The 17,057-nt window shown below is 38.3% G+C and overlaps 1 long non-coding RNA gene across 1 annotated transcript in view; it reads left to right on the top strand.

Annotated features, from left to right (window-relative positions):
• LOC101928438 (uncharacterized) overlaps window positions 1–17,057 on the top strand; it is a 234,104-nt gene that overhangs the window by 4,257 nt on the left and 212,790 nt on the right. Inside the window, exon 2 of the long non-coding RNA NR_109802.1 lies at window positions 9,642–9,762. This is a non-coding gene — a long non-coding RNA (uncharacterized LOC101928438). The remainder of the gene's footprint in view (window positions 1–9,641; window positions 9,763–17,057) is intronic.

Here is a 17,057-nt window from a genome sequence, read left to right as displayed (position 1 = left end):
CTTTGCTGCCATGAAGGTGCCCAGCCTTGGGTAAGTTCATCTTTTCGGGGGGCCTAAATATTATTTGTAAAATGATAGTGTTGGGCTCACTTTATGATCTTTAAGGAAATTTCAAGTTCTAAAGTTGAATGCTTTTTTAGACACATTAAATATTGTGAATCAGCTGTGCCCTGGTCTCCTAAAGTGATTGCTATGGCCAGGAGACTTACAAACTGTCTTGTATACAATACATGTGCTTTTAGTAGTAATGTTATATTAAACTGCTTTGGCCTGCATGGTAATGAACTATAGCCACTGAGTGGGATCTTGGTGGCCTGAGAGAGTTAATGCTGCCAGCATCACAGCCTTCTGTCCATGAAGTAGAAATGAGCAGAAACCTGGATAGTCCAAAAGTCATTTTATATTTAGCTTTGGAATTTGTTTTTGTGCCTTCATTTGAATATGGATGAGTCACAAATTGACTTCATACAAATTAGCAAACTTTCATTGGAATGGATTCTGTTGTTTGCTCCTCTTCAGTTCCTTTCTGATCCTCACTGCATGCAAAGCACAAACCATTTCTTAAGTGTAGCAGTGGAGGCAGAACTGTCCTTTTTCTGCTTCTTTCTAGAAAAGGCTTGATGATGGTGGGGTTGCAAGTCTACATCTCCCTTCGGAGTGTAAATAAATAGTGAAATAGTGAGAAGGCAGATCACAAGGAAAGTACCAAGTAGGTGTTAAGTTGAAAAAAAAAAATGGCAAAACAACCAGGATGAATACAGTAGGCTCTATTTGCAAACTTGTTAGGTTTGTGGATGGATAGACCTTTATAGATAAATAAGAGCTCACTTTGTAGGCATTGGGAAGTATCTGAATTTTAACAGATTACAGGTTGAGGTATCATTTTAGTTAGGTTTAGATAGTGAAAACATGGTTTATCTATTTTTTAAATGCCTATTCTACATATTTAGGTATCTGGTTTCCTCTTTAGATCATGCAATTAGTAACTGATTCTGATTTTTTTACCATAATACATTTTCCAGTATTTATTCTGCATGTTTATAGTTCACTACTGGAAAAATTCTTCCCTGACATCTGTTCTGAATTAGTTCCCTTTTCCAGTTATGTTTTCCTGTTTTATCAATTGTGATGAGGAGAATAGAAAGCCATATTTTAAAGATTTCTGCTACTTAAGTTTAGTAAAATTGAAATAAACTATGTAACTTTTTCTAAATTCTGGAAATTTGCATGTTAAATTACCGGTTTCATTTTTTAAAACAATAGCATAAACCGGACAAAATTTGAGATCCAGTTACTGTAGTCTTTCATAGTTGTCAAATTGACTTTTCCATAGTTAAAAAATTTTTTTGAGAACAGCTTCTGTTGTCTCAATGTCTTTAAAAATGTCTTTTTGTTTCAGTTATCTTGGATCTATGTATTTGGGATGAATCTTCTTTGGGATGAACTTATTGAGTACTTAGCAGTTCTTGGCATGCTAAGAGTAGGTATTAAGAGGAAGAGTGGTGCTCCGTAAACATTTGATGATTGAATGAAAGCAGTTTGCAGGAAGCTTTATCCAAAATATTCTATTTTCTTTATCTTAACCAGCCTCACGGCCTTAGAACTTTTCTGGGATAGTTTCACTCGTTAGGCATAAGAGAGGAGCGTACATCACTGTGCTGCTGCACCTGCACTACCCTCTTCCACCGTTGCACCGAGTCTACAGACACTTCTGGTTGCCCAGATTGAGGGAGGTACCCCTGAGTTATAGCACTCTGGGACATCTGCATTTGAACTGAGAACCGATTCAGGTGTCCTGAGGAATTGTTATGCCTTACTTTTTAACCCCAGGTACCCCCAGGAATTAATCTCTGGCTTATCTCTCTATTTTGATATGCCACTTTTGCTGCGATAGTTTCACAAGATTGTGTTCTTTTCTCTTTTCTTCACTGTCTCTGCCTGGGCGGCATATATAACCTATTCATCAGTGAGTTCCTCAACTCTAATTGATTTCCAACTGTAATCCTCACTTTGCTTTCCAGTTCTAGATGTTACTATTCAAGGCCTCCGAGTGCATAGTTACTTGTCTAATATCTATCACCCATAGACTGAGAGGCTTACATGTAGGGTGTTAACTAGGAACTCAACTTATATCTACTTAACATATTTAAACATGTTAAGATTTAATTTTTGAAAAGATAATACATTTACATGATTCAAATGACAAAGCATTTAGAAATGAGAAGTTTACTTTCCACTCCGGTCCCCTACTAAATGACCCTCCTTCCAGAGTTGTTGTTATTGTTCTTTTTTTTTTTTTTTTTTTGAGACAGAGTCTCTCTCTGTTGCTCAGGCTGGAGTGCAGTGGTGCGATCTTAGCTTACTGCAACCTCTGCCTCCTGGGTTCAAGAGATTCTCCCGCCTCAGCCTCCCGAGTAGCTGGGAGCTGGGACTACAGGTGCAAGCCACCAGATTCGGCTAATTTTTGTGTTTTTAGTAGAGACGGGGTTTTACCATGTTGGCCAGGGTGGTCTGAAACTCCTGACTTCTAGCAGTCTGCCTGCCTCAGTCTCCCAAAGTGCCGAGATCCTTCCAGAGTTTTTTAATGCATTTCCAAGACACTACAAATATAAATTCTGTTTCCCTTTCCTTTTTTATACACATGGAAGCTTACACGTATTGTTCTGCCTTTTTCACTTAATAGTGTATCTTGGAGTTCTGTCCATAACAGTGGAAAAATATCTGAGATATATCTGAGATATATTTCATTTATAATGTATCTTGGAGATCTCTTCATGTCATTGTGTGAATATATCATTATTTAGCCAGCCCCATATTGATGGACATTTGGGAAGTTTTCAATCTTTTTGCTGTTTCAAGTAATGCTACAATAAATACTTTTGTTATATAGATTATACTTGTGCAAATATATTTGTAGGATAAATTCCTAGCAATTGAGGGATACAAATTACAAGTAATGCTACAATAAATACTTTTGTTATATAGATTATTTTATACTTGTGCAAATACATTTGTAGGGTAAATTCCTAGAAATTGAATTACTGGGCCAAAGGGTATATATATCATAGTAGTTTGATAGGTACTACCAAATTACTCTCCATAGAGGTTGTACAGTTTACACTCCACTAAAAATATAGGCAAGTGCCTGAATACTCATATTCTTGCCAACAATGTGTTATTTAACCTTAGGTTTTTTTCCAGTCTGGTCGGTGAAAATGTTATCTTAGTGTAACTTTAATTTCTTTCTCTCATGAGTAAGTTAGAACATCTTTTTCATATGCTTAAGAGCCATTTATATTTCCTTTTGGTGAAGTGTGTCTTATATCCTTTGCCTATTTTGGGAGGTGGGGGTGGTTTAAAAATCACTTTGTAGTTGCTGTTTATAATATGGAGATTTGCCCTTTGTTATATGAGTTGCAGCGTATTTCCCCGTAGTTTGTCATTTGTCTTTCAACTTTGCTTATGATGTTTTTGCTATGTAGATTTTTTAAAAAATGTACTTGAATTTGTCAGTCTTTTATGACTTCTAGATTTAGTCATAGTTAGAAAAATCTATACTACTCCAAGGTTATGAAAGAATTCCCTCACGTTGGCTTTTACTACTTTCATGGTTTCTGTTTTGCATTTAAATTTTTGATCCATTTTTCCTGGTGTATGGTATGAGAGGTAGGTCCAACTTTATTTTTTTCCAAATGGCTACGCAGTTGTCTCAACACCATTTGTGAATAGTCTACCTCTACGCTGTTTTGCTTCTTACTCAAAACAAGACTGATTCATCTCCTTTTTTTTTTCACACCTACTCTGCTGTGACTGAATATGAATACAATTCTCTGCTTTCCTTCCTGTAGAACACCTTCTTCAGTGGCAGAGATGTCTTTCTCCCTGCTGCCTCCCTGCTTTCCTCAGCAATACCGCACGCAGCCTGGCAGTCAGTTAATGTTGGAATGAATACGGGGTACTCAGAAGCTCTCCAGGATTTTTCATTGAGCAATAACTGGTTAAAAAGAAATCCTAACTGTAATCAGGTTCCTTAGAAGACTGTTCAAACTGGAGATGTCTTCGGGCTCTCTCTAGTCATGGTGATCAGTTATTCCAGAAGCTAAAGGTGTACTACCTGGGTCCTTTACTCTAGAGGCAGTCCGATTTGGGTTGCTTCCCTCCATGCAAATTACTCTCATCTGCTACCTCTGCTTTGTCTGACAGCATGGGATATTACCTTCTGTAATTTGAGATGGGAACCATAAAATGCCAACAAGGTGGTGTTGATTCCCCATGATGCAATGGCCAGCTCAAGAACCTCATTTACTTGGAAAGTGAGGCTGTGGATAAATGATTTTGGAAACATTCCTTCTCAGTTTGAACCCCAAGCAGATGTTGTTTCATCTGTGGAACCTAGGGAAAACCCTAGCTTTGTTCTTCTAGGTGAGAGTGTCCAAGCAGGCAGATGAAACTGAATTTATTTGATACCTTTCCTTACTAGCATTCTCTAAGCTATGTGGGCTAGTTTTATAGCTACCTGATAAAAGACTTCCTTCCACTTTGAACCATTGCCCTAGGCTATATTTCCTTTCTAAACTTGTCCAGGCCATCTTGCCTATTCTTTATTATTGAGGCTTACCTTTTGATCCTGTTTCTTATCTCTGCCTTCAGACTTGCCGCCTGATGCTGGTAGTACCCTCTTTGTCCAGTACCAATTTGACTTAAAAGTTATTTTGGCCAAAAGCAATGTGGTCAAGTACAATTTAGCTGAAAGCAAGTTGGTTAACTGATTTGTTGTAATCAGCTATTAATTGAAACAATGATTTCGTCAAAACAATGAGTTGGTCAAAATGAATATCCTGTTAATAGTTTTTGAGTAGTGGTAATTTCAGTGTAAAATGATTAGATACTTTTGGTCCATTTTCTAGGGACTTTTCCAGTATTTTTCTTTTACAGTTCAAGTTAACTTTCAGCTATGGCAGCATTTGATTGCTTGTGATTTCAAAAAGTTAAAGCAACCTAGCTACCCAGTAATAGGAGAATAGTTGGACAAGAGTAATCTTAACTAAAAGGCAATAAGAGGTTAATTGGAACAAACAAAACACCCAGTGATAAGATAAAAACATGTTTCCTGTATTATTTTTCTTTTCCCCTCATAAAAAAGGCTGTGCATATGCAGTACAGGACATTCAGAAAAATGTAGATAAAGACTAGAAGGAAAAAAGAAAAAAGCTATAAATTAATTCACCCAGGAATAACCACTGTTGTCCTTCCCTATCCTTCTAAGTGCATTTTATACACATAAACTCTACCTATAGTTTGTAATTTGCCATAATTTATTTAAGCATTCTCCAGTTATTGGTTAGTCACTTTTGTTGAGAATCAGATTTTGGTTCCTTTGTGCAACTGTGGGCCAGGCTACCTTTAGCTGGGAATAGATTGCCTTTCTCTTTTCCCTTCTGTCCCTCAATCCTGCCTAGGCCTGCATCCAGCCTGGGCTCTCAAGGCCCCCCTGCCTGCTTTAAGTGAGACACTTTGTAAATGAAACCATTCTGCCAAGCCTTTCTATGGTTACTAAAGAGGCCTGGTTCCAGAATTCCTGTGGAACTCTCTGGTTATATATAAAAATTTTTTTGGAGTTCATGCTTGATATATGTTATATGTATATGTATGCAAATCAGATAGAGTGAAGAGATGGGAGGGATTATATTGGGTCTCCATTAAAATAAGAATAAAGAGGCATTGCAGCAGAGAACTCCATTATCAGTGGAGGGAAATTAGGAGATTTTCTCTAAAACAGGGTTGGCAAATATGTGCTATGTGTTGTGCCTGAACCTGAGTCATGATAGACTCACTAATCAGTCATGGCACTATTTCTCACTAGATCCAGACTCAGCTTTAAGTCTTTCTCAAGGTTGGGTTCTAGGTGGCTGTATCCACTGTAGTTGCTGTGGGAGACAAATGAGTTACTACTCTTGCTTCTAAGATGTTACATTAAAGTTATTGTTTTTTGTTTTTTTTTTTTTACAGTGGATTGACCAAGAAAGTTTTTGTTTGTTTGTTTTTCTTTGAGACAAAGTCTTGATCTGTTGTTCAGGCTGGAGAGCAGTGGCAAGACCATGGCTCATTGCATCCTTGACCTCCCGGCTCAAGCGATCCTACTGGCTTCAGGTAGCTGGGACTACAGGTATATGCCACCACACCGGGCTAATTTTTTTTAATTGTAGAGACAGGGGTTTCCCTATGTTGTCCAGGCTGGTCTCAAACTCCTGGGCTCAAGGGATCCTCCTACCTTGGCCTCCCAAAGTGCTGGGGTTATAGGTGTGAGCCACCATGCCTGGCCTGACTGGGAAAGTTTTAATAAAATGTTTTCTATCTGATAAATAAGTTCATGTTGAAAAATATGGGATGTGAGCAAAGAGTAATTATCTGGATTTCAGGCAAAGCACATGCCTTGTAGTTAAGATCATTGAAGCAGCATAATCACATTATAGATTTGTTATGGAGTGAAAACAATGTCATAATAATACTCATCAGTATAAATTGCCCATGGTATGGTCATGGTGATTGACTCCCCAGTATTCATCCCACCGCAGGTGATTTGTCTAAGCAGTCATGGTTAATCCCATTTCCCTTGCCGGTGAAGAGTTAGGAATGGCCTGTAACCTATTCTGGCCAATGAGAGATGAAGGAAAAGTCTACAGACGGCTTGAGTGCTTCTGGGAAAGGATTTATTGATTCTAAACAGAGAGAAAAGAAAGAGATGATGCCTCATCTCCCTGTGATTTTATGTTTGAGTATAGTGGCTAGAACTGCTCTATCCATCTTGGGACCATGAGGGAAACTAGCTTTGGGGGGTGCAGCTGATCTAGATGATGACAGAACAGATGGAAGAAACCTGAGCCCTTGATGACCTTCCTGAATTGCTGATTGTATTGTACTTGGTCTGCCTTACCTCTGAACTTCCAGTTCTGTGAGATAATACAGTTCCTCATTGTGTAAGTAGGCATGATCTGCGAATTTGTCATTTGCAGCCAGAAACATCCTGATGTGATACCTACTTTGTCCCAAGCAGATTCACGTCAGGTGGATTTGATATTATTTGGATAGGTTTCTTTTTGCTGGGGCTCTTCCCTCCCCATGTCTTCTGCCTTCATAAAGTGGATGCAGATTCTAACTGGCCAGGTCTTGTCTCTATCTTTTCTAAGGGGCTCTGCCTTAGACCAGGGATCTTCATAGGAAGCAGCAAGGAATCAAACAGCACTCATTGTCTCTTCCAGAGTCTTTTGGGTTGTTTGAATATCTGGTGGTGTGACTGCTACCATTTGTTGTTCATTCCTTCTTTTTCTGATTCTGATTCTGATTTCTTGCTTAGATCTTGGTCCTCACTTTTGTATATTTTGTGTCTCATGCCTGACCTCAAGATTGTTTGATAGATTTATTTTCTTCTCTTCTGCAACTCTTTCCCCTTATCTCCTTCATCCACTCCTTCCTCATCTTGTGACTTGATTTTGTGGCCAGTGGAGACTATTCTAAGCAGATGGGTATATGTTATTTGCCAGGAGCAATAGTGAGTTACATGAGTAATCATACATCTATTTGCTCTAGACTGGTAGAGTAAAAAGTAAGAGTAGTTCACCCCTTGGTCTTCTCATCTAGTACCTTTCACTCATGGCATAGAATAATAGAACTGGAAATGGTCTAGGAGTCAGAGCATTTGAGTCTTCATTATGGCCTAGCCATTTGCTACCTGAAATTTTGGGCAAGTCTCTTAAGTATATTTTTTCCTTAAAGTTTGTTGCTATTGTCTGTCTAATTTTTAAAATAGTATTATAGTGATTCAAATGAAATAATGAACCTGGCAAATGAGAAGGTTTTTTTAAAAAAACACTCAAACTTGGTTGGATTTTCTGTTTATTTTCAGTGAACTAATGTCAAAGTCTCTAAATTGTGTAGTTTGTTAGTCTCTTTGTAGAAAGGCAACGGAGTATGATGTGGGGCATAATAGTACAAGTAATTAGGGATTGAAATTTATATTTTAGTGTTAACTAGGCCTGAAAAAAAGAAAAAAGGCCACACGATATTAAAAATAAAGGTCAGGATGTTGATCTTGAGGCTTATTTCTAGTTCAACCAGAAATTCTGGTCAGCCGAATTAGGGGGAAAGAGAAACCAATAAAAGAAACACCCCCCTCTAGTGGCGAGGGGCCAGATTCTCCACTTGGTTGCTAAGATGGATGAGGGGAATGGATAACTTCTTAGGATATTTTTTGTTTCTTAAGAATTCTGAGGTTGTAGAGTTAGACTACTTAAGGGAGATCTTAGTTCAGGCTTTATTTGTCAGGAAACTTAACACATTTCTCAGGATAACTAGTATCTTGTCAGTCTCATGTGAAATTGGTTAAAAAATGTAGAGGCTACTGTTGTTGGAAGAGGTTCACAGTTTACTTTTATATAGGCCACATGGAGATCATGAAAATTAGGAGACATTTGTTGCTAAACTTCTTATTGGGTCTGAGATGATATAGTAGGTACCTTTATAATCCCATTCACAGGGGGATAAATATTTAAAGTTGTGGGTTATGCCATAGAGTAGTATTAATCTATGTTTGTACAAAATAGTGGCTGTGGATTTCCTAAGTTTTGATTTGAAATTTTTACTGGTGATCCTGAGAACCAAATGTTTAACTTGCATCTTGGGAATGATTTAATTGCTACCTATGGAAAGGCAGTGAAGTTAAGTATATTAAAATAACATCACCCATACTTTAGTGACTCAGGAGGAGCACCTAATGCTTTTTTTTTTTTTTTTTTTTTTTTTTTTTGAGGCAAGGCCTCACTCTATTGCCCAGGTTGGAGTGCCATGGTGCAGTTTCGGTTCACTGCAGCCTTGACCTCCTGGGCTCAAGCAGTCCTCCCACTTCAGCCTCCTGAGTAGCTGGGACTACAGGTGTGCACCACCACACCAGGCTAATTTTATTCATTTTTTGTAGAGATGAGGTCTCCCTGTGTTGCCCAGGCTGGTCGTGAACTGGGCTCAAGGGATTCTCCTACCTTGGCCTCTCAAAGTGTTGGGATTACAGGCATTAGCCACTGCACCTGGTGCACCTAATGCATTCTTGAAGGATGTTTCATCTTAAGGATATAAATCGTTAGTGATAATGATTGTAAGTGATTGTTACATTTGCAAATCTCAAAGTCCATTGAAGTTTTTACTGTTTCAACTTCTGTTTGGGAAAGATTATTTTACATTTGTTTAAAGATTTCTGAAGAGGCAAAATTTCAGAGAATAATATTTTTATAATACTCTGTTAGATCTAAGTTAAGACTGGAATGCCATTCAAATTCAATGGTTAAAAGGCATAAGAAAATAAATTCTTATATCAGACTGCATTATCAATATGCCATTTCCTTATTTTTAATGTCAAACTTCCTTGCCCTGAAGGAAAAAAATTGAAGCTTGCAGTTGACCAGCCATTCCATAACTTGGAGTATGTTTGGTGGCCTTTCTTATGAAATAGTAATGGAAAAATTCCATAGAAAATATAAACTCGTGTGTGGATGAAGTGAGATTATAGAGTTACGAAATTAATTTTTGTGCATAACTTGTGGAGCTGATAGCCTTAATTTATTATTGTACTTCATAAATATACTTTATTTCAGGAAAGAAGAACTAGGTCTGGCAGTAGATCAGAATCTACCTGTTGGGGAAAACCAGAAATAGGAAGAAGAGTTATTAATGGTTCATTCTTGGCTGAGAAGAATTCAGTATGGAATAATTAAGGTTAGTTTAGAGAAATAATATATGATTATGTTAAGGAGTTCACAAATATTATTGAAAGTAAACTGGTTAAAACTGATTTGTTAATGTAAATGGGGCCAATAAACCAATTAGATGATCTCGCTACTAAATTGATGTGATAATAGAGGATATCTGGAGGGAAGTAAAATAGATGATAAGGTTAGTGGTAATGAGACTTCATTAAATCCTAGTACTAAAGAGATACTGTGTACATTAGTGACAGCTTAATTCTATAAATAAAAGTTGATGTTAAGAATTGATATGGGGCCTGTGGTGACTCACACTTGTAATCCCAGAGACTTGGGAGTCTGAGGTGGGAGGATTGCTTGAGGCCAAGAGTTCCAGACCAGCCTGGGCAACATAGTGAGACCCCCCTCTCATTCACTCATAAATAAATACATAAATAGCAAGCCCAATGTGGTGGTGAGTGCCTGTATTCCCAGCTACTTAGAAGGCTGAGCCAGGAGGATCGCTGGAGCCCAGGAGTTTGAGGCTGCAGTGAGATATGATTGCCCCACTGTACTCTAGCCTGGGGGACAGAGCAAGACCCCATCTCTAAAATAATAATAACTGATACAATGTTGGCACTGCTGAAATTAGGCAGGTATTATTTGTGTAAAGAGTTGTAACAAAAGGACTTGATTAAAGAGCCCAGGCTCCAAACTCATTTGAAATTCCAGGTAAAGTATAAGAATAATAATTCATATTTGTATGGGACTTTATAATACTCTGAATGTTTTCATATACAAGATCTCCTTTGATTCTTATAAGAACTCAGGGTAATAGTAGTACAGGTTTGGAGGTTCTGAGAGGCTAACAGACTTACTGAAGCAAATAGGGACTAAATGACAGGAGTGGGACTTGAACCCAGGGCTCCCTACCAAAATGCTTTTGCTCACTGTGTTGCTTTTTTGTGGTTGCTGTAACAAATTACTACAAACTAGGTCGCTTAAAGCAATAGAAATTTATTCTTTAACTCTTTTGGAGGCCAGAAGTCCAAAATCAAGGTGTTGGCTGAGCCACATTCCCTCTGGAGGCTCTTTGGGGGAGAAATCTGTTCCTTGCCTCTTCCAGTTTCTGTTGTGTATGGGGCATTCCTTGACTTGTGGCTGCCTCACTCCAGTCTCTGCCTCTGTGGTCATTATAGCCTTCTTTTCTGTTCTGTGTCTTCTCTTCTGTGTGTCTCAAATCTCTCTCTCTGCCTTTTTCTTCTAAGGACTGACTTTAAGAGAATCTACTTGTCACTGGATTTAGGGTACACCTGGATAATCCAAGATGATCTCACCTGAAAATTTTTAATTACATCTGCAAAGACCTTTTCTTCAAATAAAGTAATATTCACAGGGTCTGGGGATTGGGATATGGATGTGTCTTTTCAGGAGCCACCATTTAACCCACTAAATTCATTATATGCTGTTTAATGCTGTATCTTCCTTTTGGATTGAAGAGATATGCTTCTGTTTGAAGATGGGCAAGTGGGCTAGGGAATTTTTGGCTAGTAGGTAGAAAGGAACTTTAAAAATATTTCTGGTTGGTGCTGTTTAGTAAGTGCTTGTTAAACTTTCAGAGGTCAAATATCTTGAACACAAATTGGAGAAGGAGTAAATCAGTATAAAGTGAAAAATATGATATTTTCTCCAAAAGGCAGTCACTGACTGCTTTGGCAGAAAGAATTGAGGTGATTACTCAAGAGTTCCACCAAATTGTTGTGCTAGCTTTTACATTTGCAAACTATAAAAAACGGGACTAAATTAAGTAGCAGCTCACTTTTTTTATTAACAGTATTACAAGTTGACTTTTTCATTTCTTGTGTAATTGAGATAAAAGGGGGGGTGTGTGTATGAGAGAGAGACAAAGATTTTGTTAATGGTTTTAGTATGATTCATTTCTTATGTCATATGGGCATTCTAATTTGAGTCATATTAATTAAGGTGATCTATGTATGTAAACTCTTTGAGGGAGGGACTTGGCATGCCTTGTATACAGCTAGATCCCCAGTGTAGTTCCGGACACGTGGTAGATGTGCTCAGACAACATTAGCTGTATGAATGAAAGAACTTCTTATGATACCCAAATCTGGCAGCCACAAGTCTCATTACAATTTACTTTATGGAGGGTCCCCATTGGTAATAAGGTCTATTAATTGTAGAATTGTCCCTGCTGACTTTAAGAGACTTCACTCTGTGTCCTTTTATGCTGACAGAGCCTACAACTTTTTTCATCTCCAATAATCTTCAGCTCCAGGCCAAAAAAAAGTTGTTCTTGCCCTGCTCACATTAATTGAAATAAGTCAGTGAGATTCCTTCTGCCCACCACCTCACTTCTCACTAGCATGGGGCTCAGCTACCATTAGAGATGTTAGAGTGGGGCTGTTGTGCAGTTCTTCAGACTATTAGTGCTGTATGCTATGTTCTGAGGAGGGTTCGGGCTTTTATCTTCTCAAAAATGTGTAAAATTTTGACTCACTCATACAGCTTTAGATGTTAACAGATAGAAGTATACTGACTGTGTGTGCTAGGCTCTTCCATGTATTATATCAGATGTTGCTTCCAGCCAACCTGAGAAGCTAAGTACTAACATTGTCCCTATTTTACAGAAGCATAAAGAAGTTAAGCAACCCAACCTAAGTTCACACCAAAATTTGAACCCAGGTAGCCTTACTTCATTCAGTGCCCGTGTTCTTAACCATGTCCAATGACAGCCTCAAGCTCATTTGTTTATAAGTAACTCGTTCTTACTTTCTAAAAGCTTTTCTGTTTTCTTTATTTTGAAGCTCAGAAATTAGAAATCTGACTAGGATATATATATAGGTATATGCCCTTTTTCATTTATCCTGTCTGGTACTCAATGAGCCCTTTTGATTTCATAATTCTAGTCTCCTCCTGAGGGAAGTTTTCTTGTATTATGTTTTGATTATTACTTTTTCCATTATGGTCCTTGTTCTCTCTCTGAATGCCTTTTATTTCCAATTAGACCTCCTGGACCTGCTGGTTAGTTCTCTCATCTTTTTATTCAAGAATTCCATTTCTTTTTTTTTTGCTCCAGATAATGTGATACACATTCACCTGCTTTTCCAGATAACAGATTTGTTCTTTGGAGGGTCTCCTGTACTTTTTACTTCCTCAATTGAAATTTAAAATTTATAAATCATGTTTAAAGAATTACCCAATCTATTATTTTGTTTCAGTTATTCCCTTGCATTCAACAGCATATACAAAATAAAATATACAAGTAAACATGGTTTATTTTAGAAATGTGAGACTATTTCAACATTAGGAAATACTAATGTAAGATATCACTCTAATAGATCAAAGGAAAAAAACTTAGAATCATTTTCACAAATACTGCAAAGGTATTTGATAAATCACTACTCATTCTTGATAAAAACCAAAGAAACAAAAAACAGCTCTTGTTAATCCAGGAAATGAAGGCTATTTTCTTAACAGTACAGCCAATATCATAGTTAACTTTGAAAGTTAATTTTGAAATACTTGAGCAACATTCCCTAAGAGTATCTTCAGAACTGTAGATCTGATGTTTATATAAAAAAGGGTATCTTGGTGTATTAGTTAGGGTAAAGCGAGATGTTACAACAAATACCAACTTTTCAGTGGCTTAATAAAATATAAATTTATTTTTCCCTCATGTAATAGTCCACTGCGGATGTTTCTGGTTGGCAGACAGTTGTTTTTTTCTGTATGGTAACTCAGGGACATAGGCTCCTTCCATTATAGGGATCCACCATTCCCTAGGGCCTTGAATTCTTCTGTTTCCAGTGGACAGAATTGCAGAGATAGGGTGGAGAATGCATACTTTCTTCTCAGTTACCTTGGCCTGGATACGACACACATCAGTTCTGTTCACATTCCCACATTCCATTGGCCGGAACTAGATGCGTTACCTCACCTGTCTGCAAGATGTGTGTTCCAGGGGAGGGAAATGGAAAACATTATCTGGCTGGGGAACCACAGGTGTGGTAACAGTCTCATTTGTAGTTGGAAGGAGTAGAAATTAGGAATGCCTTAGTGGAGGACACTGTGTGATATCTGTCAAATTTTAAAACATACATGTTCTTTGACCTCAAAATTCCACTTCCAGCAATTTTTCCTACAGATATACCCACAAATATATACATGTTTACACTTGGAGGATATACCTAGTAATATTGTAATAGTAAAAGATTGGAAGCATTCTGAATGTCCATCAAAGGGGACTGAGTTGGAAACATTCTGAATGTCCATCAAAGGGGACTGAGTAAATTATTGTTTATCCATACATTGAAACACTGCAGCCACTGAGAGGCAGTGATATATGTACTGACTGGGGAGAGAAATGCAAGGTACAGAACCGTGTGTTCACAGCTACCATTTACTTAAAAAGAGAAATATATACATGTATGCTCATATATTCATAGAATATTTATGGAGGGATCACAAGAAACTGGAAGGATCACAAAAAATGTAACAGTGGCTGCTTCTGGTTAAAATTATAAGGTCATGGGTCATGGGATGAGAGAGTCAGGCTTTTACTGTGTCCTCTTTTATACCTTTTGATGTGCACCTATTTAAATATAAAAGTCAGTTGTAGAAGTATAATAAATAACATGGAAAGATGGCTGTAATATATTATTGCCTAAAAACAAGCTTACTGAAAATTATGTACAATATGTTCTCACTTTTATAAATAAATAAAGAAATGGGATATACAGAAATGCAGTGGTTTGTGTTCTTTTTTTTTGCTTATTTGTATTTTTGGATTTTCTATAGTAAACACGTATTACCTTTATAGTTAAAACAATTATAAAATGAAGAAACACAATGAAAACTTTTCTTAGGAGTCCTTTCTGGCTTTGCCATGAAACTTCCTCCATTTCTCTTATTAAGATTAATGGATGACTTATTTTTCCTTCCATGCTGCGTTTTAAACATACTCACAACACTCTAAATTGCATTATCGTGTACACATTTGGCTCATCTACTTTGTGCATTCTTAGTGGACCTGGATCATACCAAATTTCTCCAGGTATCCCTCTCTGTGCCGAAAATAGTGTCTTTCCTATAACAGGTGTGCAGTAAATACTGAATTGGCACTTTAACCAGGGAGCACAATGAGTTCCAACTTACTATTTTTTTAATCTTTTTTTTTTCCCCCCTTTTTCTGGAGAACAGGGCCTCACTATGTTGCTCAGGCAGGTCTTGAACTCCTGGACTCAAGCTATCCTCGTGCCTCTGCCTCCGTAAGTGCTGGGATTACAGGTGTGAGCTACCGTGCCTGGCACAAGGACTGAAGTAGTTGTGTACTTTTCGCCCTTGTGTTATGTAGCCTCTATTCAGTACTATACCCCAAATATCACTGACTTGTTAGCAATGCCATTGGCTTATTAGGTGCAGTTCGAAGTCCCATTGGGCCAAAGGTTTCCTTTCTAAAATGATACTGGTTGCCTCCAGGGATCTGTCTCTGCATCCTTAGTTAGCATGGGTCTGTTATATATGTAGTCAGAAATGAAAAATTTAAAAAGAATAATCAACCTGCTGATGACATGGTCTCTGCTCTTATACAGGTGAATACACTCCTATCTGCTTGGTGTCATAATTTAGAATAGTTTCCTTCTATTTTTCTTTCTCTACTATTTTCCTTTCTCTATTTCTATCCTTTTGCTGTGACCCCTTCTTGTACACACATGGTTGTATTTTTGCTATAGTTTATCAGGGGTCAGTTATGAATAAATGAGAAGAAATACAAATAAAAGAATTGGGAGCTGAACAAATTATTTGCAGCAGTAAGATTTTTAATTGGAAATTGCCTGAGAATAGATTCTCTGCACTTCCATTTTATTGGTACTATGTCCTTATCATTCATGTTTCTTCCCTGTGCTCTAGTCACAGGGGTCTGGTTATGCCCCAGGAGTTTTTTCCATGTACTTTTTTATTTGGAGGTCCTTTTTTATTGGAGGTCCTCTGCATGTATCCAATGATCCAAATTCTGTGATGGTAATTTTTTTTTTTTTTGAGATAGAGTCTTGCTCTGTTGCCCAAGCTGGAGTGCAGTGGCATGATCTCAGCCCACTGCAACCTCTGCCTCCTGAGTTCAAGCAATTCTCCTGCCTGAGCCTCCCAAGTAGCTGGGATTACAGGCACCTGCCACCACCCCGGCTCATTTTTGTGATTTTAGTAGAGATGGGGTTTCACCATATTGGGCCAGGCTGGTCTCGAACTCTTGACCTCGTGATCTGCCCACGTCGGCCTCCCATAGTGCTGGGATTACAGGCATGAGCCACCACACCCAGACTGTCATCATAAATTTTACGTGTCAACTTGCCTGGGCCACAGGATGCCCAGATACCTGGTTAAACATTATTCCTATGTGTGTCTGTGAGGGTGTTTCCAGAAGAGGTTTGAATCGGTAGATGGAGTAAAGCACATTGCTGTCCCCAATGTGGATGGGCATTAGCCAATCGGTTGAGGGCCTGAATAGAACAAAAAGATGCAGAAAAGAAGAATTCTCCGTTTCTGCCTGACTGCTTGAGTGTTCTCCTGCCCATGGGTCTTCTCCTGCCTTTGGATTGGGACATATGCCTTCTGCCCTTCAGTTCTGAGGCTTTTGAAGTTGAACTAGAATTTACGCTATCAGTTCTGGTTCTTATGCCTTTGGACTCAGACAAATTACACCATCACCACCTTTCCTGGGTCTCCAGCTTGCAGGCGGCAGATCACGGGACTCCTTAACTTCCATAGTCATGTAAGCCAGTTCCTCACCATCAATCTATATCTCTGTCTATCTCGATCTCTCTCTTATTGTTTCTGTTTCTCTAGAAAACAACTATCTTACTATAAAGAACCAATTCAGATACCACCTTTGTCAAGTCATCATAGACATTCAATTTTTTTCTCTTCTCATTCTTCCATTAAATTATACTTGCCGGGCGTGTTGGCCCATGCCTGTAATCCCAGCACTTTGAGAGGCCGAGGCAAGAGGATAGCTTGAGGCTAGGAGTTTAAAACCAGCCTGGGCAACAAAGTGAGACCCTGTCTCTACAAAAAGAAAAGTTAGTAAATTAGCCAGTTATGTTGGTGGTGTGCCTGTAGTCCCAGCTATTCAGGAGGCTGAGGTGGGAGGATCGCTTGAGCCCAGGAGTTTGAGGCTGCAGTGAGCCATGATTGCACCACTGCACTCCAGTCTAGGCAACAGCAAGACACTGCCTCTACAAAAAAACAAAACAAAACCGTATACTCTATTAGAGCACTAATTACAGTTTGTTCATCTGTTCTACACATTCA

This window comes from Homo sapiens, chromosome 9 (assembly GCF_000001405.40).
Source record: "Homo sapiens chromosome 9, GRCh38.p14 Primary Assembly".
NCBI classification, from domain to species: Eukaryota; Metazoa; Chordata; class Mammalia; order Primates; family Hominidae; genus Homo; species Homo sapiens.
This window is presented reverse-complemented; position numbering and strand designations above follow the sequence as displayed.